Source organism: Homo sapiens, chromosome 8 (assembly GCF_000001405.40).
Source record: "Homo sapiens chromosome 8, GRCh38.p14 Primary Assembly".
NCBI classification, from domain to species: Eukaryota; Metazoa; Chordata; class Mammalia; order Primates; family Hominidae; genus Homo; species Homo sapiens.
In genome coordinates, this window is record NC_000008.11 from 103,156,723 (window position 1) to 103,180,843 (window position 24,121).

The 24,121-nt window shown below is 41.0% G+C and overlaps 1 protein-coding gene and 1 long non-coding RNA gene across 4 annotated transcripts in view; one reads left to right on the plus strand and one right to left on the minus strand.

The window, feature by feature from the left end:
- Positions 1-24,121, plus strand: part of BAALC (BAALC binder of MAP3K1 and KLF4) — an 89,581-nt gene that overhangs the window by 15,998 nt on the left and 49,462 nt on the right. The gene's annotated exons all lie outside the window — the stretch shown is intronic.
- Positions 268-15,418, minus strand: BAALC-AS1 (BAALC antisense RNA 1). The gene is made up of 3 exons (NR_109954.1): positions 15,214-15,418; positions 9,103-9,574; positions 268-316 (listed from the first exon to the last, which is right to left on the minus strand). It is a non-coding gene; the product is annotated as a BAALC antisense RNA 1 (long non-coding RNA).

A 24,121-nucleotide genomic window follows, 5' to 3' on the forward strand; every position in this document is an offset into this window, starting at 1 on the left:
AATGAGGGTTTTTGGAAAGTCGCTGCATGTCTGCTTGGTTGTGAGTCTGGGCAGCTGATGAATGGGTTGCTGTTATGGTGTTTACTTTTCTGAATCAGGTGTTCCTTTGCAGAGGCAGGGGGCTTCCAGCCATTATGTAAGCTTTCAGAAAATACCCAATGATCTTCTTAGAGAAAGAGCACCATTTAAATAGAAGCTACTAAAATCGTTAACACGGGGACCCAGAGAGAGTGTGCCCATGCCCTTTAGCCATATTTGTCTCTTTTGCACATAAATTCAAAATTCAAACGCTGACTCTTCTTGGGATTGCAAAACCCTGTAGCAGTAAGCAAAAAATTAGTGTGGAATGTATATGATATACAAAAAAGTTATATGAAAAGGTGATCTGAATATGTGTGTAGGTACACACACACACACACACACACACACCACACACAAATGGAGATTATATCTTCAATTGAGCATCAAACACCATCTGGTTGCAATTGCTCAAAACAATTCTAGAACCCCTTAATTGTAGCCTTAGACATTTTTTAATATAACATTTCAAACATATATGAAAATTTGAAACTTTATACGCACATATTTCAAGCTATATATATATATATTTGGATAATATTATATAATAAACCCCCACGTATCCATCACAGCTTCAACGCATTGCAAATCTTGTTTCATCTCTGCCTCCATTCCCCTTCATCAATTGGGTAATTTTGAAGCAAATTCCGGAAGTCATGTAACTTCATCCATGAATACTTTAGTATGAATCTCTAAGAAATTAGGACTCTTTTAAAAAGATATTGGGGCTGTCATGGTGGCTCACACCAGTAATCCCAGCACATTGGGAGGCTGAGGCAGGAGGATCACCTGAGCCTATGAGTATGAGACCGTCCTGGGCAATATAGTGAGGCCTCATCTCTATAAAAAAATTATTTTTAAAAAATTAGCCAAGCATGGTGGTGCATGCCTGTAGTCCCAGCTATTCTGGAGGCTAAGCCTGCTTGAGCCTGGGAGGCAGAGGTTACAGTGAGTTGAAATTACACCACTGCACTCCAGCCAGGGCAACAGAGCAAGACCCTGTTTCAAAAGAAAATTTTTAAAAAGTAAAAAGATATTGGATTGGACTATATTAAATTGTCATTTTTTATAGGTTGAAATGGTATAATATCAGCAATTCCGTATGCTTCAACCTAATATATAACCACAATACCATTATCACATCTAAAATTAATGAAAATTCCTTAATTCTTAATTCTCTAATGTAATAAAAATTCAGCCAGTGCCCAAATTTTCCCAATGGTCTCATAAATGTTTTTCTCTCATTGGTTTGTTTGAATTGAGATACAAACAACATCTGCATGTTGTATTTGGTTTATATTTTTCTTGTTTCTTTCAGTTTATAGGTTTCCCATTTCCTCCCTTTCCCCTTCAATTTATTTGTTGAAGAAACTGGTTGTTTTGTCTTGTAGAGTTTCTAATTTTTTGGATTTTGCTGATTGCCTCCCTGTGGTGTTGTTTAAAATGTTGCTATATTCAGTTAGACAGGAGGAAAACCTTCAGGAAAGCTATTGCGCAACATGGTGACTAGCGTTAATAACAATGTATTGTATAGAGTAGTTCCTCCTTATCCATGGAGAATAAGTTCCAATACTTCCAGGGGATGCCTGAAGCCACAATTAGTACAAAACCCTATATATATTGTTCTTCCTTTCTTTATTAAATAGAGAACTTTCATACTTTATTTTAAAGAAGCACTTTAGGGCTTTTCTTTGGCATATCAGAATTGCCAGCATCACTACTCTTGCTTTGGTGCCATTATTAAGTAAAAGAAGGGTGACTTGAATGTAAGCACCATGATACCTGGACAATTGATCTGAACACCAAGAGGGCTACAAAGTAACTAACAGGCCAATGGTGTCTACAGCACGGATACATAGGACAATACATATATACAATACATACAATACATACATACATACATACATACATACACATCCCAGGCGAGACAAAGCAGGACAGCAAGATATTTCATCATGCTACTCAGAATGGCACACAATTTAAAACTTAAGAATTGTTTATTTCTGGAATTTTCCATTTAATATTTTTGGACTTTGGTTGACCACAGGTAACTGAGACTGCAAAAATGGAACCTGCAGGGAGGGAGGGACAATTGTATTTGAATGTTTAAAAAGTAGATTTTAAATGATCTCACCACGAAGAAAGATATCTGAGATCATGAATATGTTAATTAGCTTGATTTAGCCATTCAAGAATATATACATATATCAAAATATCATGTTGTACACCACATACAAAATTTTGTCAATTTAAAAATTAATTAATTAATTGAAAAAAGTTTCTGTATTCTCTGTAAACTGATAGAACAATAGGCTTGACGGAATTCTGGTTTGCTTTTTCAGTAGGAAACTTCATAGGTGATGAGGTATTCTTTCCATCGTGTGGTTCTACATCAGGAACCACACATCAGGTTATATCTTGTTTTTTGTGATGTTAAGATTGGCTTAGGCCACCTGATCTATCCTTTATAAAGTTTCTCATCAGCTTTCTACCTAATGCTTTTAGCAGTTATTGATAATCATTGCCTACATCAATTATTTCATTAGGAATTACAAAATGGTGATAGTCTAACATTTCTTCAACATTTATTACTTGGAATTCTTTTATAAAGAATAACTTTTCCCCACATCCTTTTTGGCTTTCCTGAAAAGTCTGAGTAAATGCCAAATGTTTTCCCTTTAATGATCAGTTCTCAGTTTCTCCCCTAGTATCCTCCAAAGGTGGCCCAAGGAGTGTTTCTTAAAGCGTCATGATGGATTCATGGCTCATTAGCATATTGGATGGGTTTTAACTCATTGCACTTATTATCTTGTATGTGTATACTCAGGGTTTCCCATCTTTGGCTAGTGGGATCCCCCGTTTGACTCTTGACTCCTTTTCACACACTTCTAGTAGTCTTTGATAGTCCTGGCTTTCTGGTATGGTATGTTTTTCTAGGCTTATTATTATTTCTAGGCTTATTATGTTTTTATAGGCTCATTCTTTTATTTTTCTGGGCTAGGACTTGGAATTACCGATTTCTCTAAGGAGCCCTGGTTCCTCTAACTGAAGTACTATACTTAGAGCCTACAGCCTGGGCACCTAGGCTGCTTGTTGCTACTGGGTTGGCTGTTGTTTATATCTCTTTTCACTGGACAGAGCTAGAAACTATTTTTAAAGAGACTATGTGTTTGTATTGATATTATCAATTCAGATTTTTCATCCTTTTAAAACTTTATTCTTTTTTTTTAGATGCTAAATATCTTGGTTCCTAACAACATTATAAGTAAGAAACTAAGGTTGCTTTGTCTTATATATGTAACAGTATTGTTAACAGTGGAGGGTGTCCAGGTTCTTGGCATCTTGAACACATAATTGGACAAAATGCACAAACAAAGCAAGGAAAGAATGAAGGGATTTATTGAGAATGAAAGTACACTCCACAGTGTAAGAGCAGGCCCAAGCATAGGGGCTCAAAGGCCGCATTACAGAATTTTGGGGAGTTTAAATATCCCTTAGAGGATTCCATTGGTTACTTTGGGTATGCCCTATGTAAATGGAGAGGATGAAGTAAAGTTACAAAGTCATTTACCACCTATGCCCTATGGAGAGGATGTTTCCTGTTATAGCTGAAGTGTGGATAGGCATTATGTTCCCTGCCTCCAGACTCTATTTTCCTGCCTCAGTGTGATTACTGAAAATGTTTTTAAAGATTTTTTGGGAGTTTTTTGTCTTTAGGGTATATCCCAATAGGGACATACAGTTAGATTACTGTGTTTTAAAGTAAATTGAAATAATTTATTGCTGGGTGGCTGTATGAGGGTTCTCCAGAGGAACAGAACTAATAGTCTATACATATATATATAAAGGGGAGTTTATTAAGTATTAACTTACATGATCACAAGGTCCCACAATAGGCTGTCTGCAAGCTGAGGAGCAAGGAGAGCCCGTTTGAGTCCCAAAACAAAGAATTTGGAGTCTGATGTTTGACAGCAGGAAGCACCCAGCACGGGAGAAAGATGTAGGCTGGGAGGCTAGGCCAGTCTTGCCTTTTCACGTTTTTCTGCCTGATTTATATTCACTGGCAGCTGATTAGATGGTGCCCACCCAGATTAAGGGTGGGTCTGCCTTCCCCAGCCCACTGACTCAAATGTTAATCTCCTTTGGCAACACCCTCACAGACACACCCAGGATCAATACTTTGCATCCTTCAATCCAATCAAGTTGACACTCAGTATTAACCATCACAGTGGTTAAGCCATCAACTTGCTAGACAGGTAGGTTCATTTGTTTCATTTTACTTTTGCATTTCAGGAAAAATTGCTGTTTCTTTCATTTCAGTTTAATTTTGTTTTATATTGGTCAAACATTTACATGGTTCTAAAGACAAATCTATAAAATAAGCTACATATAAGAAGTTTGGCTTTCATTATCTCTGCCCCCTTTCCTCTGATTCCTTTGTCATCCTATAGATAACCATTTTATTAGTTTTTGGTTTATCTTTTTTTTTTCAAATAAGCAAACATATGCACACATACACAGAAATCTCTATATCCATATCTGTATCTATATATTTAGATGCTTTTCATTTTTAAGATAAAAGGCAGCATACTATACCTACTGTTCTGTCCCTTGACTTTCACTGAAGACTATATCCCAGATATCACTTCAAAGCACTACATAAATTCCTCATTCCTTTTTATAGCTGCATAGCGCTCGATTGTGTGGATGTGTCCTGGTTTATTAAACCAGTCTCCTACTGATGGCCATTAGGGCTGTTCCCAATCTTTTACTGTAACAAATAGTCTTGTCCATGTGTCTTTTCATTTTTTTCCAGTGTAGATTTAGGTAGATCCCTAAAAAGTGGTACAGCTGGGCCAAATGCTGAATGCAAATGTAATTTTGCTAGATATTGCCAAATTTTCCCCCAGAGGCCTTGTGCCATTTTGCATTCCCATCAGCAGCATATGAAAGTGCCTGTTTCCCCATAGCCCTGCCAGTAGGGTAGATTATCAAACTTAGGGATTTTTATCACTTTAGTAGGTAAGGAATTGTAGCTCACTTAGTTTTAGTGTGCCCTCTAAGAATGAAGTTGCCATCTTTTTATACAATTCTGGAAAAACTGCCATTTCTGCCCTATATACAATCTGTTCACATCTCTGGGCCTGTTCTTTGTTTGTTTTTTGTTTTTGTTTTTTTGAAACAGGGTTTTGCTCTGTCACCCAGGCTGAAGCACAGTGATACGATCAAGGTTCACTGCAGCCTTGATCTCCTAGTCTCAAGCAGTTTTTCTACCTCAGCCTCCCAAGTAGCTGGGACCACAGGTGAGCCACCATGCCCAGCTAATTAAAAACATTTTTTTCATAGAGATGGGGTTTTGCCATGTTGCCCATGCTGGTCTCCAACTCCTGGGCTGAAGCAATTCTCCCACCTTGGCCTCCGGAAGTGTTGGGATTACAGGAATGAGCCACCATGCCCAGCTTGGGCCTGTTCTTTTGACCATATTCACTAGTTGTAAATCTTCATCCTTTGAAGGTGACTGAGATATTTTGAAAAGCAAAAAGTCTAAAAGCAAAAAGTTGAAAAGCAAAAACCTGAAGTTATTTGTTGAATAAAATTGCTGGGGTTTTGCTGTCAGATGGAACAGCTGGGACTGGTTGGGCATCTCTCTCGGTACAGTCCCAGCACTTCTCCATATGCTCTTTCTGCAAGGGCTAGTTTGGGCTTCCTCACAGCATGGTGGCCCAGGGCAGTCAGCATGTTTGCATAACTGCTCAGAACTCCAGTGCAAGCCCCAGTTAGCAAGGTAGAAGCTGCATTGCCTTTTATGTCCTAGTCTCGGAAATTATACAGTTTATTTCTCCTGTATTCTATTGGTTATAAATGAGTCACAAGCCTGCCCAGATTTAAAAGGAGGGGAATCAGACTCCACTTCTTAATGGAGGAATGGCAAGTTTCTAGAAAAGCATGGTAGTTTTAATAATAACTATAAAGGACCTGAGATTTTACCCTACAAGTTAGCCCGTCACAGTTTCTTGAATACTGGTAAGACACGAGACTCCAGGGTCAGAAACAAAGGACGTTACAACTGTAGCATAGCAAACCTTTTGAGCATTAGCATATTTGCATCAGTCCCTGTTCCCCCAAGTCTCACTGGGGAGAAGCAAATGGGTCCAGATAGATTCCTGCACATGTTACAGGGAATTTCCATTCCTATTAATCTACTGAAACTCTTATCACAAAGAGTACCAATTACCTTGTAAATGGAGAGTCAGCGCCCATGTCCCTTTCTGCAGCTTTCAGCACCACTGACCTGGCCAATCTCCTCTGCCTACCCTTACTCCACATTTTGGAAATGGACCTTCTCCCTCAGTTTCCCTACACCACCATTTCCCTTCCACCTCTGATTATGTCTTCTCTGCCTCGTCCTCTTTTTTAGTTCCTCTTTCATGATTTGTCCCATGCTCTACCCACGTCTCTTCACGCCCTTGCCCAGTTCTCTTCTCTTATCCAGCAGGCTCTCCCAGAAGACTCACCTGCTGCTGACGTTATCCTCCCAGTGGCTGCTCCCCGCCATATCTGCTCTTGATTCCAGACCACATTTCCAACCATCACAAGGCATCCAAATACTGTCAGCCAAGTTCCTCAAATTCAACTTGCCCCAAACCAAATTAACCTCTTGTCCCTCACACCTGCCCACCCTATGGTGCCATCCCTCTCTGTTCATCAGAATCATCTCTGGTTGTTCAGGTGTAAGACTTTGGGGTTATTTTTGTCTTATTCCTATCTTTCTCTGCACATCTAATCAGGCACCAACTTCTACAGTCTGTCTCTGAAATGAATGGTTGCAGTGAATTGTTCCTTTCTTTCCAGGCCCAACTGCTGCCCTAGTTCAGGCCCTCATTAATGCTCCCCTTCAAATCACCTACCACTGCCCTTCCTGAATGTGGGGGCATCTTGGTGGCTAGGCAGTCATTCCCTTCCTCCCCTATTGCTCCATGTGTGTCTCTTACAAAATCACAAGCTCAGTTGAATTTTGTGTATTTATCACACAGAAAATCCTTCCTTCCTTCCTTCCCACAAATATTCTTCAGCACCCACCCTAGAGTGAGTGCTGTTTTAGATGCTGGGGCTGGAGCAGTGGACAAGACCAAGATTCTTCTCTCAGAGCTTACATTTGGGTTTGAGCTAATGGTGATGGGTAGAGAAAGAAATAACCAAGGCAATTTCAGACATTGGTAAGCACCGTGAAGAAAACCAAGATAATAAAATAGAGAGTGACTGGAGATGGGGAAGCCTAGCAGATTGGGTGGTAAGGCGAGGGGTCTTTGAGGAAGGAGCTAACTTGTGAGTGAAGAGCAGGAGCTGCTTTGTGAGCATTAGGGGATAGAGTGCTCCAGGAGGGGCCCCCAGTAGTGCAAAGGCCCTGAGACAGGAATGGGCTTAATGTGATTGAGGCACAGAGTGAGGTGAAAGTAACTGGGGGAAACTGGGAGAGGGATGTGGGGTAGGAGAGGATGTCTGTAAGGAGGTAGACTATTTAGGACCTTGTGAGTGATGAGCAGGAGTTTGGGCTTTATTCCAGTGTCAACGGAAGCAGGGATAGGATTGTGTGTCTGCACTGGAACCTCTAAACCTCTCGTTTACTTCTGACTTTTCTTCAGTTCATTTCTCACATTCCTGCCAAAGAGTCTTTCTGGAGGATGGATGTGATCGTGTCACTCTTGTGCCCAATAATATTTCATGACCACTATTTCCTACTAGACAAATGATGAAATTCTTGGCATGGCATTCCAGGCCTTCAGCCATCAGGTCTGAGTCTTCTATTCCTACCAATACCACACTATTGAGTCCTCACTAGGCCTGCCCTTTCCTTCCTTCTCTATGTATTTAGTCTTGCAACTTCCTCCGATGGAACATTTTACCTTCACCCTTACTCATTGTACAAATCTAACCCAAAAGCCACCCCTCTGCAAAGCCTCCCTAGGCCCTCCCCAAGTGGAACGAATCTCTGTTTTCCCCATACGCCTTTTCTTCTCATTGCTATTTCCACTGCTGTATGGTCAGCCTTGTGCACATGTGCACAGGTCTGCCCTTCCCCAGATGAGTGTTTCTTGGAGTCAGGAATTGGGTCTTGCTCATTACCTGTCCCCTAAAAAGGCTTGCCATTACTGTTGTCTGAGACTGACAAGTAGGAACACACTAACTTTGGTATCTGTCTTGCATTTGAAGAATGTGATAGGCTATTGCTTGGTTTCAAAACTGTGGGATTTGGGGCATGGCTCCATGGACATCCAGCTGTGTGGTTGCATAGCTGCATAATTGTGTGACTGTTTAGCTGCATGATAATATGGAAGCATAGCAGTCTGGCCACAGTTTGCATGGTTTCATGGCTGGGTGGCTCCACAACTTTGACAGAAAACCTTCCCTTTGCATTTCTGTGTTACATCATGATTTCTACCAGCGTTCTGAAGCTGACTGTATTTTCTACAGGAGAGCCATTGGCATCTTGGGTGGGACTGCAGCAAGCGTTGCTAAACACTAAGCATCCCTTCACGCTCCTACCAAATGCAGTATGGTCCCCTTGTCATCAAGACAACCCAAAATGCCCCTGTTCCTTTACAAACTCCCCTTCTGTTAAAATCCCTAGATTATGAGCACAAGGGGAGTAAGGTGAAGGAAAAGCTACAAAGAAATTATGTTCCATTCATTGGAAGAAGCTTGGAGCTGAAAAAGGATCCAAATAATCATTGAGTACAAACGCTGAGGTTTTTAGGAGGCAATCAAGACCCAAGAGTTTCACAGCCTTGCCTGAAGTCCCATAGTTTGTCAGCAACAGAACAAAAACCAGAATGCATTTTCTTACCTATAAGATGGAGATTTATGACTTATTTGTTTTTGCATAACAAATACTTGTATATTTTACTTCTTCAGCCAGCCACTGTTCTAACTGTAAAATAAAACTAATTGAATACTTGTGGCAACCTCATGGGGTCAGATTACCCCTGCTTGGCAGATGAGCCACACTGTTAGTAAGACACTTACCCTCTTTGTGCCACAGTTCTCCTATAAAATACACCCCCAGAGTGTTGAGGTGCACACTGAATTCTGTAATGTAATGTATGCTGAGGACTCGGCCAGTGCTTGATACATGCTAGCCATCATTTATTACAGCTGTGACTGTCTCTTCCCGTGTGACTGGGGCTCCTCCCAGGGGACTCCACTGCACCGAATTGTATAAGTGCAACTCCTTTCAGTTGTCCCAGGTCTAAGTATCATTCAAGCAGGTTCTCCATTGTTCGCTTTTTCTGAAATGACCACACACGGTCAGCGCAGGATGAGGACATGTCCTTGGGAGAGGAGGTCATCTTTGCATCATGTCTTTTAGGGATTCAGAATTTAATTTTCTGCCACTCCATGTCTTGCTTGATTCTTAGAGTCATTCACTTCTGTAACCTTTGTTCCTGCCAGTGTCTGTTCTTAGAATGCCGCAGACCCGCCTGCTGATTGTTTTGTTCTAGAGAGAGAACCAAGAGGGAAGAGAGACAGATAAAGAGAAGGAGAAGCTAAATTTCCATCATTGAAAAAGAGCCAAAGAGCCCTGTTTCCTCACACTTTTTTTTAAGCCTCAGGAATATTTTCTTTGTTTCCAGGGACCTCCTTGAATCCAGGCTTGAAGTGGAGCAGATGTGTGGGAGGGTATGGGAGACAACGGGCCTGAGGGCAGAAACCGTTTTGTTTTTTTGTTTTTGGAATGGACAGTGACACTGGCAAGGAGATTGTCCCACAGTCAGCATGCTGGGGAAAGAAAGATAGTGATTTTACTGTTGTCTTGAAAGATCTGATTTTATTTTTTTGAAAACCTCCAGAATGCTTAAATAAATATATTTGAATGCATCTCTGGGTTGTTGAATTTGTTCAAACCCAATGAACACATTCACTATTAATGAGGTGCTTGTGCTCCTTTGAAAGCCTGGTAATAATCCTCTTAAAAGAAAATTGTACCTATTTAATATCTTTCTTTGTGTATAATGCTAAATACAGCATCTAAACTGGATTTATAATCCACAATGCCCAAAGTGACTTCACTTGGCACAGTCAAAGGATACTTTAAGATGCTTTAAATCTAAATGGACTCTGAAAATACACATCTTCCAGGTTAATTCTAATGATTGGTTTGTAACACAAATGGGGAACCTATTTCTAAGAATGATACCTGGGGTGAAATGGAACGCTTTGCCTTCATGAGTCTCTTAAGTCCACTATTATGACCTAAATGGTCCCATGAGTATTTATTTATTTTGCTACCTAAATTTTAATTTTCTTTGATGTGGATTTTGCCATTGGGATTATATAGAAATAGACATTATTGAAAGGCTTCAGATACTAAGATAGACCAAATATAAATGTCCTTTCAGACAGGGCAGTGGCCTTACCCTAAATGAATGAATGAATTTATTTATTCAACAATTATGTAGGGTGCGCTTTCAAAGTGCTAGACATAGTCCTAGGCACTCAGGCTAGATCTAGGAGGAGTCCTTGTGGAGTTTGCAGTCTAGAGCAGCGCTGTCCAGAGACTCAATGTTCTTTGCATTGTCCAATACAGCCTTATGACTATGGATCACTGGAAATGGAGCTAGTGCTGCTGAAGAACTGAATTTTTCACATGATTTAATGTTAATTTAAATTAGCATAGCCCAGTAGAGCTGGCGGCTACCATATTGGACAGCACAGGCAGAAGAGGTAGATAGCATACGAACTCATACAATTAATTATTATTGTTGCAAGTGCTACAAAAGAGAAGTCAGATATGATGAAAAGTTGGTATGGGGAACATTTCTAGCAAAAGGAACAGCATGTGCAAAGGCCTTGAGGCAGGAAGAGTTTGGCATTTTCCAGCTATTGGAGGACAGCAATGTTATTGGAGCATCATGCAAGCCATGAGTGAGGGGAGGCAGTGCTGGGAGCAGGAAAGGCTGGATCACATGGGAGCATGTAGGCCACAATGAGGAGCTTGGACTTCATCCTAACAGCAATGAGAAGCCTTGGATGGGTTTTGAGCAGGAAAGTCCCTTGATCCAATTACATTAAAGTTTTTTTAAAGATATTCATCAAATATAGCTTCTGTTTTTAGCACAGATGCCAATATCTCAGATAAGTCTTAGCTGACCCTTAGATTAGGTGACATTTCCCAGTTTTATTTTTTCATAGTTCCTGACTTCTCTTTCAGAGCACTTACATTTATAATTAACTAGTTGTGTAAACTAGTTTTTTATTTATTTCTCCTTCTACCTGTGTTGTCCAATGTGGTAACCACCAGCTCTACCGGGCTATATACCACATGAATAAAATTTAGACAAATAGTTCTAAAAGGCTTGCTATGAAAATCAACCCTGTTATGCATCCCACTTTATCAGTTCTCTTGGAGTAACTACTGTCAACTATTTAAGCTCGTTCTCTTGTTTCATTTCCTTGTCTCTAAATAATTGGCAAGTCATACTCTTTCTTGATGTTTCGGTCTAAGGCCTGATCTATTGATTACCCTCATGAAAGGTGAGGTTTTCACTCTTTCACCTCCATCCCACCACTGCCAATACATTGTAGCATAACTCGGTTAGATCAGTGTTCTTTGTTGGTGTTTTGTTGACACTTTTCGCAGCTAAACCAGATTAGGATTACTTTTCCTTTCACAGACAATATTTTATGTTTGCTGCATTAAAAATATGTGTTTGTTTTTTTTTTTTTAATGTGAATGCATCACTAATTCACATCAAACCCTCCTCTGGTTGTGTAAATCTCCTTTCAATATGTTTAAGTAAATTAGGAATTCTATCACAATTTTTTCTTTTAATTGCCCTTGGAGTTTTCTGAACTGCTCCAGTCTGGGCTGGTTGCTGTCCAGGCTGGCTGCATACCTCTTGGCCTTGACTCTTTCTTTGACATTAACCTGAGGATTTCCTTAGCCTCTCTCCTGTGTTGAATTGATCTCATAGTTCCTGTATTCTGTGTCTTTCTCTTCCTTGGTTTGTTCTCTTGTTTGGCCAAGAACATCCTCAAGTAGCTTTCTATGTAAGAGGTGACATTTTTTTGAAACTTTACTTTTCAAAAAATTTTTTATGCCTTCTACATTTAATCGATAGTTTGGCGGGGTATAAAATCTCATTTCCTTAAGGTTTTCAAGGTGTTGTTGACAAGTCTGAAGTCATTCTGATTCTCAATCCTTAGTATGAGATTTGTCCGTTCCTCCTGCCCCCATCTCCCTGTGTCTTTTAAAAAAATCTCATAGCCTTCAATTATGAAAACATTTTCTCAAGTTATTATTATTATTATATTTCTCCCTAGCCTGGTCCTCTAATTTTCTTATCTTTCCTCTCCTATCTTCCATCCTACTTTTTTGGAGATTTCTTCCATATTGTCTTCCAATTTTTCTTTTGAATTTTTCATTCCCTCTACCTTAGTTTTAATTTTTAAGAACTCTCTTTTGGTTCTCTGAATGTTCCTTTTCATAGCATCTCATTCTTAGTTTTTTAGACGCAATATCTTTCTGATTATAACATTAATTAGGTTTTCTCCCCTTATAGAGTTTGTTTATTCAAGTTTATGTCCCCCACCCCGTCTATTTTGTTGGTCTTTCTCTTGTTTCGTGGCTTTCCTCTAATGTCTGCTGGTCCTGAACTGTTGGCTTGTATTTAAGGAGAGGGCACTCCGATGTTGGTTGGAAGCTCCATTTATGACGTTGGGGCTTAAGGTCTGTCATCTTCACTATAGAGTATCTGGCTGGATCATTCCTTTCAGGAACTTTTGATGTCTGTATTTTCAGGCCTTTTTGAGGGAAAGGGAGTGATCAGATTCCACTGAGCAGACTCTCCCAATTTCCTACCTGGAGGGCACATGCCTGACTGAGTAGGGGAAGAAGCCTGGAGTCCCAGTGCTTCATATTTTCAGCACAATAGCCCCGACCTCAATTGTTCTAAGTGATCCTCTGTCCAGAAAGTTTCACCAGGAAGTTTTTTATTAGAAAACAAAACAACAACTTCTTTCAGGGTGAAGGAGGGGCACTCATTCAGATTTGGTATTTTGGGGAGAGGTCCTTGGGTTCTAACTGCTTCTGAAGCCAGTTTTCCACAAATGCTTTCTCTCCCCCTTCCAAAGGTATCTAGTGGCTTCCATTCCTGAGTTCCTTGGGGACAGAGGGATAAAAAACACGTTGTACTCAAGTTTCCTTTTTTTCCCCTTAGGATTCAGATTTCTTGAACTGCTAAGATAGTAAGCACTTGCTTATCTCCTTCCCAGCTTCCAAAATTTTGTAGTACATTTTCTCTCTCCTCTTTTTCCTATGAGTTTATGCCTCTAAAAGTTCCCTTATGTTTGTTTTAGTGGTATTTGGGAGTGGGACAGAGCTCATTGCATTTGCAATGACAAAATTTGCCATTTAAAAACTGGAATTCAATGAGCCTTTTTTTTTTTTTAAAGCCGCTTGGTTATATTGTAGAAAATGGACTTCATGGTTCTGTTGGTTTTGTATTGGATGGTATACAGAGTAGAATTGTATCCCCCAGAAAGACATGTTGAAGTCCTAACTCCCAGTACATGTGAGTGTGGCCTTATTTGAAAATAGGGTCTTTACAGATGTTATCAAGGTAAGATGAGATTATATGATATTAAGGTGAACCTTAATCCAATGGCTGTTGTTCTTGTAAGAAAAAGGAAATTTGGACACAGACACACAGAGAGGAGAATGCCATGTGCAGTGAAGGCAGAGATTGAAGTGATGCATCTACAAACCAAGGAACACTACGGACTGTCCACAGCCACCGCAAGCTAGGAGAGGGTGTGGAACTGATTCTCAGTTCCTCCAGAAGGAAGCAACCCTGCCAACACTTTAATTTCAGACTTCTAGCTCCCAGAACTGTGAGACAGTAAATTTCTGTTGTTTTCAATCACCCAGTTTTTGGTTCTTTGTTACAGCAGTCCCATGAAACTAATACAGATAGGTATTAAGTTACGTGATTTAGTGTTCTTAGAAATGGGGGCCCTTTGAGAAACTTTCAGTATTCTTAGAAATGGAAGATGCTTTGAGAAATGGAAGGTGATTTTTCCCTGAAGCAGCAATTTATTCTCTATATCATTTGTTATCTGGCAGTTTCATTGAGTAAATGTCTTAATTATTCTTCAACACTATAAAATTGTCATGGTACAGAACACATCTGATGTGTCTTCTTATATCTGGCTAACTTTTAAAATGCCAATCTGATTTATTTGGAAAGCTATCAAGCCAAACAGAGCCAGCTGAACACTGAGAAATCTAATCAGAAGAAAGGGAGAAAAAGAAAGGAAAAAAGAGAGAGAGAGAGAAGGAGAGAAGGGAAGAGAAGGGAAGGGAGAAAGAAAGGAAAGGAAGGGAGAGAGGGAGGGAGGAAGGAAAGAGAGAGAGAAAGAAGCAAGGAAGGACAGAAAGAAAGAAAGGAAGGAAGGAAGAAAGGAAAGAAGAGAAAAAGAAAGAAAGAGAGAAGGAAGGGGGGAGGGAGGAGGAAACAGTGAGAGAAAGAGAGAAAGAAGGAAGGAGGAAAGAGCAAGGAAGGAAGGAGAAAGAAAGAAAGGCAAGAGAGGAAGGAAGGAAGGAAAGAAAGAAAAGAGAGAGAATGAAAATAAAAAGAAAGAGAAAGAAAGTAAGAAAGAAAGAAAAGAAAAGAAAGAAAGAGGGAGTCCAAATATATCTTCATTCATTTTGACCTGAACTCTGGAAAATCTTCCAGCAATATGAACCCAATATCCAGATTCTAGTCCCTCCACACAGATTCCTCTAGGGACTTTCTGTTTTTGCAGTTGCCCTGGGGCTATAGCTTTTCCCAAAGAGCTAGAAAACACTAGTTCTAAAGGACACATTAATAAATGCAGGTGACCACAAGGACTTGTGGAGAACAAAGAGAAACAATGATAAGAGCCCCAGGAAAGACCTCACTAGCAGATTTTCTGTCTCCTTTGCATCTGTTTACCTCTCGTGTCAGAGTGAGGACCTAGCTGGATCCAGGAAACCCAGGCAAAATCTGCTTCCCAGTAGAGTTCACTATTGGTGAAGAAATAGCCCCAAAACTAGATTTCACACAGTTCAAAAGCCAGTTCTCCCAAAATAAATTTGCCAGTTAGTGAACCTACCTGAATACCTAAGGTCTTTCCCCAGGTTTTGATTCTGCCTCAACGTTGCCGCAGCTGCCTTGGCTTAGAATTGTTAGTCCAGGAATTCTTCTAAGTGTGAATGACTGGGCTTTCCTTTAAATCCATTTTTGCTGTTTTATGTCCCCTAAACTGTCTCTTTGGGCTTCTGCTCTGCTCCTGTTCCTGCCCCTGCCTGTATCTACTTCTGTTTCCATGGGGAAGTGTTTGGGAAATTGGAACCTTGGGTCCTTTTTTTTTTACCCCTCTTCAATGAAAAGAACATTTGACTAGCTCTTGGCTAGTATTTTTGGCCTTTCAGTGAAATGGTTGTTGGTGAATTACAACTTGATAAAATGATCCAGAGGCCAGATATCCTATCCAAGAAAGCATCTTTTGCTTTAGGAAGGCAATAGAAGGTCATTAGGATTAGGTAGACTGAATTCTATTCTGGCTTGCTTTTTTTTTTTTTTTTTTTTTTTGAGACAGAGTCTCGCTCTATTGCCCAGGCTGGAGTACAGTACAGTGACATGATCTCAGCTCACTGCATCCTCGGCCTCCCGGGTTCAGCCAATTCTCCTGCCTCAGCCTCCCGAGTAGCTGGGATTACAGGCACCCACCACCATGACTGGCTAATTTTTGGTAGAGACGTGGTTTCTACCATGTTGGCCAGGCTGGTCTCAAACTCCTGACTTCAGGTGGTCCCCCTGCCTCAGCCTCCCAAAGTGCTGGGATTACAGACATGAGCCACCATGCCCAGCCTCTGGCTTGTTTTTCACTCACTGAGGTAGAGCTCTATATCCCCAAGCTCCAGTTTCCCTGTAAAATGGAGATAATATTGCCAACTTCACAGATGTAGGGATTAAATGACCCTGGGGATAACTTGAATGCTTTTTTAAAAATTATGATTTACTTAAAAATGTGTATATTAAATCAGGTAAAGTTACTCCTTATAGCTTATAAACAATTATAAAACAAAAAATAATGATTTACAAAGGAGAGAGGTGCAAACCAGGCCAGTGACATTCTGAATAATAGCATTAATCTAATATAACAAATAGTTTTGTTTTATGGAAACTGAATCACAAACATTGCTTTTAGTGGTAGAAAGATACATTTGCTTATTTTCCATTTCACTTTTGCCCACTGGATCCTTTTGATTTTTGAGGCACGGTGGGCCATCATTTGAACTGTTAACACTATCACAGTTATTTTTCATTTTAATGGTGACGCCAGCTTTAGCCATCCACGGCACTTACTGCAAGTTGGTGCATCTAAGGATGGGAACTGTGTGGCCACACAGATGAGGATGCCACTGTTTCCATCACAGGGCTCCTGCACGGGTGATGATTCAATTCTCTCACCCTCTTCTGTATTTAAATGACTCAGAAGCTTTCATCCGTGATGCCATTTTGCCATCATGAAGTATAGAGATCTCATTTATATCTTCCTTTTTTCACACTTCAAGACTATTGAAGGAATTGATGCCATTTCAGCCTTTAAAACAATACATATGTCATCACCAAATCATGGAATCCTAATAAGTTGAGATCATTTGGATGATTCTAAATTTGCTAATAATAGATTTTTTTCACAATTACCATGAAACAGAAGAATGATAGTATATCCTCAGATCCCCCCAGGAATTTGCTGACTGTCACATTTTCAGGCAAATTGGCCAAAATGTAGGAAAGTGTCTGGCATGTAGTAGGTACTTGGTAAAGAAAAGTTTTTTATGAAATTCATGCCAAAACCATCCAGTAAAGCCAGAGATTTCCAAACTTTATACTTAAAGTTCCATCAACTGGACTTCAATGATTCTATGTCTCAAAAAAATTAAAAAGCATTAGGGAAAATATTACTCAACTTAAACCTTGACAAAGTTGAATTGGAATATTAAGTAACTAGCAACACTGGTGCCAGAAGTGAGTAAAGTTATCTGCAGAGTGCAAAATTCGTCACGGTCCTTGCCCACAGACTTGTAGTCTACATAAGAACCAAAAGGGCGTGAAGAAATTACTGTAAAACCTATCACATTAAGGAGCAAGAGGCTATGGAAAGGACACCCATTCTCACAATGAGAAAGGTTGTCCTTGTAGAGAAACTGGAGGCCTTCACCCATAGACGATCCAGAGTGTGAAAATTACAGGGCCAGGACACAGAGCAGCTTTTGGAAGATTCAAACCCCAGAAGCTGATAGCTGCTCAGACTGTGAAAGGGATCCTGAATCCATTCTGCCGGCCTCCCCCATCAAGATGGAGTTCTCTCAGGAAAGGACAAATGGACAAATTCCAATTTGGTTGTCAGGGAAACCTCTGGCAAAGCACCAAAAAAAAAAAAAAAAGTGCCAGTCTGTTCTGGGAATAAAGGACAGTCATTTGTGTGTTTTCTGGGAAGCAACTGTGGTGAGACTGGACCTTTGCACATCGGGCACAGCCAGGGGCCTGATGGCAAAGGAAACTGTATGCCAAGCCCCAGGAAGGGCTTCCTTCACAGACTCATAGCATGGCCTGCTACTCTTCCAGCCATGACCTTGGGACTCTGCTGCAAGGATGCCAGTTAGCCGATTTTCTGGGCTCAACTTGTGAACTGCAAAGATGCAGGCAAGGAACAGAGAAAACCCTGGATGAATGCATTTGGAAATAGATCATAGGCAAAGGGTAATTCATAGATGTTTGGATCTGGAAGACACCTGAGGATAGAGAAAGCCACTTTTTTAGACTCACTCCAAGAAGGCACCTTGGCCATGCTTCATGGTTCGATAAGCTTGGGAAATGCTCCATACCCTGAACTCCTCTTAGAGAGCCACAGTGTACATTCCCATAGTAATGGTTGGAACTATGTCACATGGCCACATCTAGCTGCAAGGGAAGCTGGGGAACATCTTTTAGCTGAGCAGCAACAGACCATCTAAAAGCCAAGATTCTGTTACAATAGCAAAAGCAAAGGCCTCATATTGGAAGGCAGCCAGCAATCTGACAACAGTCCCCCAAATTCTGGGGCATCATTTTGAAAAAATGGTAACCACTGCTAAAGGGGGCTTTTTCCTTCCATTTTCATTGCATGGAATTATACCAGTTGATCTCCACCCAGGATAACTCCAGGACAGAGCCTGTCAGCCTGTGGCGGAACTTCCTCACTCCCTGCAGTTACTCACCTCTCTGCCCTCCCTGCCCTAAACAGTTGAAAGCCCAGAGAACTTTTTCTCAGGCCTCCTCATTTTGACTCAGCTCTGTCTTTCTCAGGGCTAAGCACCAGAGACCTCATCTCTGCTTCACTTTCTTTCTCTCTACACAACCCCAAGTTTACTTACTTTCCTTTATTAACACAATCCTCTAATAGTGTGAACTACAACAAAAGGCAATATTGTGTGCTTTCATGAAAGCAAAAATATAAACGATTGAAAATGTGTGCAATTCAAATAGCTCAGAAATGATTTGTGTTTATTTACTTATGTTGTAATTTCAGAACTGTTTTATCATCATTTCTGAATGATATCCTTCTGTGAGGTTCCTGACATGATTCCTCTCTTTCCTAGTTAAATGGGGAAAGGAATTCATGTGTAAATCCATTAATTTGGGAGAATCTTGGAAGTCACCACCCCCAAGCAAATAGGCTTTACTTCAGCAATTTGGAAGTGGTACCTTAAAACCTTTGATTTCAATGTTCAAATTTATAGCAAGGGAGTTGAATTTGAAGCAGGATTGAATTAAGAATAACTCCACTGAATGCCAGGAAACTGCCTTTGGGTGGCATTTGTCTGGGCATGACCTCAGTTGTGGGCAGTCTCACTGGAGCAAAGAGCTCGAACCCCAAGGTGGCTTTTGAGACAAGGGCTGGGTGGAGAAGTCCTGCCTTGCCCACAGCAGAGCCACACTGGGGGTATCGTCTATTTATACCACTAATTCTACTCTGGACCAGGTCCCTGCTTTACATAGTATCCTCTCAATTAATTTGTAGAACAGTCTCATGAGTTTAGCATCACTATTCCCATTTTGTAGGTGAAGAAATTGAGGGTTCGAGATATAAAAGAAGCTGCCCAAAGTTACACAGTTGAAAGTGCCAGACTCAAGCCAAGCTTTGCTTTACTCTAAAACCCTTTTTTGAGACCACTGAGTCCCAGACTTTTGGAATTCACTGGCCAGCAAAAAGGAAAAAAATATGTGTAAGATTTAAAAGAAAAAAAGGTGTGAGTGTGTGTGCACGCTGATCAAGGTGCTAACTTTTTATTTAGGGGGGCATGAAAAAGACCTGTCATTTATTACTTCTACTATTTCACAAGAAAGGCTCTCTCACGCATACATGCACACACACACATGCACACATGCTGCAGAAAGCACTGTTAAATTAATTCAGCAAGTATGTACTGGCACTTATGATGTGCTAGGCACTGTTCTAGTCATTGCAGAATATAATAGTGACAAAAAAACCCAAAAATTCTTGCCCTCATGCTTAAAGCCTAGGTGCAGGGTAATAGATTTAAAAGAAAGAAGAAGGAAAGGACATAGTATTAATGTTAGAACTAAGTGCCATAAGAAAAAAAAAAGAGAGAGGAGAGGGATAGATATATAAGGAAGCCCTTCCTGAAGAAGGGACAGAAACACACCGATCTTGCTAAGAAAGGGAGTGAGCAATCCTAGCGCCCACACTAACCCACCACGCTATCTAATTTTTCTCATTGTACCATGCGCCAGGGGAATTGTCTCTGTGACCCGCCTTTTGGAAACCTCTGCCCTGTGCTGTCCTAGCTCCACAGAAGTTGAAATGGGAGGGACCTGCATGAAGGGTTCAGACTCTGCTTCTGGTTCGTTTCCTCTCAGGCTTGGTTGGCTGAAGTTTTATCTTGCCTCTGACATGATCCGGGAAATTTTTCATTTTGCCCCAATGTGAATCAATAGTTCGAAGGAAGAACTGTGAATAGAAAACTTCTGCTTTCTGAGGGCAAATGCTGCAGGGCCCTCGCATGCCTTCCTGCTGTGCTACCTCCCCTTTGCTGGACTTGCTGAGTTAGTTTGAGCTGGTGGGTACTTGTTTCATCTCCCCATGTGTTTCTAGCCTGTTGTGGGAAGAAAATTTAGACAAAGTATGCTTGTGCTCATTTTATGAAGGTTTTCCTCTGGGTTTTTGTTGAAGTTGTTAAAAGGGATATTTCTCAAACTTCATAAAGATGGAAAGCATATATGGATCTCAAAATTTCCTTTTCTCCTTTTCTCACTCTTCCTGTGTGCGGGTTTTTTGTTGTTGTTGTTGTTGTTGTTTTGTTTTTTTTTTTTTGAGACAAGATCTCATTCTATTGCCCAGTGGGGTGCAGTGACATGATCTCGGCTCACTGTAGCTTCACTCCTGGGCCCAAGTGATCCTCCCACTTCAGTCTCCCAAGTGGCTGAGACTACTGGTGTGCACCACCACTCCCAACTAATTTTTGTATTTTTTGTAGAGACGGGGTCTTACTATGTTGCCCAGGCTGGTCTCAAACTCCTGGCCTTGAGTGATGTTCCCACCTTGGCCTCCCAAAGCACTGGGAGTTTATAGGCATAAGCCACTGTACCCGGCCTTCTTCTTCTCTAGATAGCCACCTATCCCATGCAAAATTCCCCACCGTCTTGGCAGTCTGTGTTCCCCTAGGACCGCAGTTTCTGGTTTTTACTCTGAGTACAGCATTTCCATTTCTCACAAAATTCCAGTTTCTCACAGTAAATAGGGCAAGGTGGTGCTTGGAATCACAGAGACTAGAGTTCTAATTGTTGCTTTACCTCTTACTAGGCTGAGACCTTGGGAAAATTACTTGAACTTTCTCAGTCCTAGTTTTCTTATCTGTTGTGTTAGGGTAACAAGAGTTCTTACCTCATAGGATTGATGTGGACATTAAATAAAATAATATACCGTAAAATTTATTGTAATTTATATGTGCCATGCACTATTCTAAGAGCTTTGTGTATATTAACTAGTTGAATCCTCCACAAATTCCTTAAAATCAGAGCTATTATTTTAGAGAAGAAGGAACTAAATCACATAGAAGTTAGGCTGCTTGCTCAAGATCACTGTGTGTTCCTAGCATGTAGAGTGATGGTTTTCATTAATATAATCTCTGGTGGGGAAATTAGGAACCATCTGGTCTTGTCATTGGAGCTCAGCTATCAAGTTGCTACTTAATAGGTAGTTTCATTAAAAAGCAGAGGACTATATCAAAGTATATTTCTCAAAATGTTAAAAACTTAATTATCATACAAATAAATAGTGAGCAGGTATCACTATCTTTTTAACTCATTGATGAGGGTCACAGCTGGATGATAAAGTCAGCTCAAAAGAGAATATGAGAATGTGATTAACAGAAGGGCGACATGAAGAATCCTTGTGGTGATGGAGCTGTTCTGTATCTTGGTTGCAGTGGTGGATAAGTAAAAGTGCACATGTAATAAAATCATATAGGATTAAGTACAAATATACAAATGAGTACAAATTAAACCTGGGGAAATCTAAATAGGACGGGTGGATTGTACCAATGTCAGTACCCTGGATAGGATCTTGTACTACAATTCTGTAAGATGTTACCATTGGGGGAAATTAGAAAAGAGCACACAGATCACTCTGTACGATTTCTTACAACAATCTATAGATGATTTTGAAATAAAAAGTTTAATTTAGGCTGGGCACAGTGACTCACGCCTGTAATCCCAGCACTTTGGGAGGCTGAGGTGGGCGGATCACAAGGTCAGAAGTTCAAGACCAGCCTGGCCAACATGGTGAAACCCTGTCTCTACTAAAAATACAAAAATTAGCTGGGTATGGTGGCGTGTGCCTGTAATCCCAGCTACTCAGGAGGCTGAGGCAAGAGAATTGCTTGAACTGGGACCCAGGAGGCAGAGGTTGCAGTGAGCCAAGATTGCACCACTGCACTCCAGCCTGGGATACAGAGTGAGACTCTGTCTCAAAAAAAAAAAAAAAGTTAATTTAAAAACAAAATAAATAAATGGCTCAGAACAAAAGGGAATATGAGAAACTTTTAAAAATAGTTGGTGGAAAGAAGGAAAGCTGAGATAAGATTGCTAAATTAAATACAAAACTAGTTACATCCTAAAGGACAAAACAAAAACAAAAAAATTCCACAAAACCCAAACCCATAGTCTTTGGGGTTCTCTTCTCTATCAGACAGAAAAGAAACTCATCATGCATGATCAGTTCTCAGAATTGTAAACTGTTTGGCCCTAATCAAATGTGCAAACCAAGTTGCACGCTCTAGGCCAGGATCTCTCAATGCCTCCAGCACTATGGAAATTTTGGGCCCAAATAATTCTTTGTTGGGGGTGCTGTCGTGGGCACTGTAGGATGTTTAGTAGCATGTGTGGCCTCTACAGCTGAAACATCTCCACATGTCCACTGGGGGTAAAGTCATGCTGGGTAGGAGCCCCAGAACACCTTTAGGTGAGCTTGTTGGGAAGTGCTCCTAGCATAACGTTAATCATCTTTTCTGCATTATCCCAATCTCTGGATAATTGTTCTTCACAAATAAAACTACCATTTGGAGGGTCACTGTGCTGAATAGAAGCACAATGTGCTCTATGCGGAGTCACAGACTTTTAGCAGAACAGGATCCTTAGAGATTTTCTAGGCCTGCTTCACCCTCCTTGTTTCCCAGCTGAGGAATACCAGTGGAGATGGCTCGGCTAAAGTCACATAGCTAGTTCATGTGGGTGTGTCCAATTCAATCCTGTCTTCTTCCAAATGGATGTGAAGCAGTCACTATGAAGTCTTTAAAACTTTGTGGGTACCAATTATGTGCCAGGCCCTGCGCTGGGCTCACAGCCAGGTGATGGCTAACACGAGGTCCTGCTCTTGAGGCACTGATGGTCTTCCTGGGGAGATAAGGATGTAGGCAAATAATTACTGTGGGAGGGATATTCAGTAGTGCAGGCTGAGGATGAAGGCTGTGATGGCCTTAGAGTCTCAGGGATAAGCCCTAAGGGAGTCTGATGAGGACCAGAGTTCCCAGCTCCATGATCAAAGAGAGGTGGTTGTACTCATTGCAGAGGGAAGTTGTTGTTCCTGGCGCAGAGGGAATGTGAGGCCCAAAAGTGAATCTGCCCACAGTGCAGGCCTGGGCCAGGTTCTGGGATTACTGGGAGGCCCAGAAGACAATGATAAGCAGGGGGAGTGCAGAAATGGGGAGCTGTGAAGAACAAGTGGAAGAAAGGAGCAGATTTATAGCCAAGAGATCAGGCCAAAGATAGGACAGGGTGGGCGAGTGGGAGGAATGCAATTCTGAGATGGAGAAATTAAGACAACTAGAGTTCCAGGAAGAAGAGAACAACTGGGTAAAATCACAGCAGTGTTGAGAGCATGGTGGTGCCCGTGGTTTACTGTTAGTGGTCACTATGGTTTCCAGAAATCTAACTGCATGAATGGCACCCAGGAACTGAATCTGGGACTTCCTGGCTGGCTGCACCCTGCAAGGCTCACGTGCTTGGCCTCAGAGAGGAAAGGGACTGGAACTAGGACTCAGAACAAAAATTTGGCAGAGCATGAATCCAGGTCTGGCTGGCACAGGAGCTGCTTCCAAGATATTTTACATCCAAAGCACCAACCTCACATGTTGTGGCAGTTACAGGAAGGAGGCTTCCAACTTTAGCATCCTTCAAGCCCTTGCCTCGTTCCTCGTGACTCACCAGGGAGAGAGAAACTGGAAAACAGGGACCAGAAGGATGTAGGGAGAGGATTAGACAAAATAAGGGCCAGAGCAAGATGCAAAGTGGAGATGCTGCCCGCCAGTTCTTTGGGATTCAGCAGGCAAGCCTTCCTTGGGGAAACCCTTTCAGGCAAGGAGGAGAACAAGTTGAGATGTAAAGCAATGATTGTGTGAAAATAGATAGGATTGAAAATGAACCAAGACAAAATTGTATCTGCCCAACTTCTT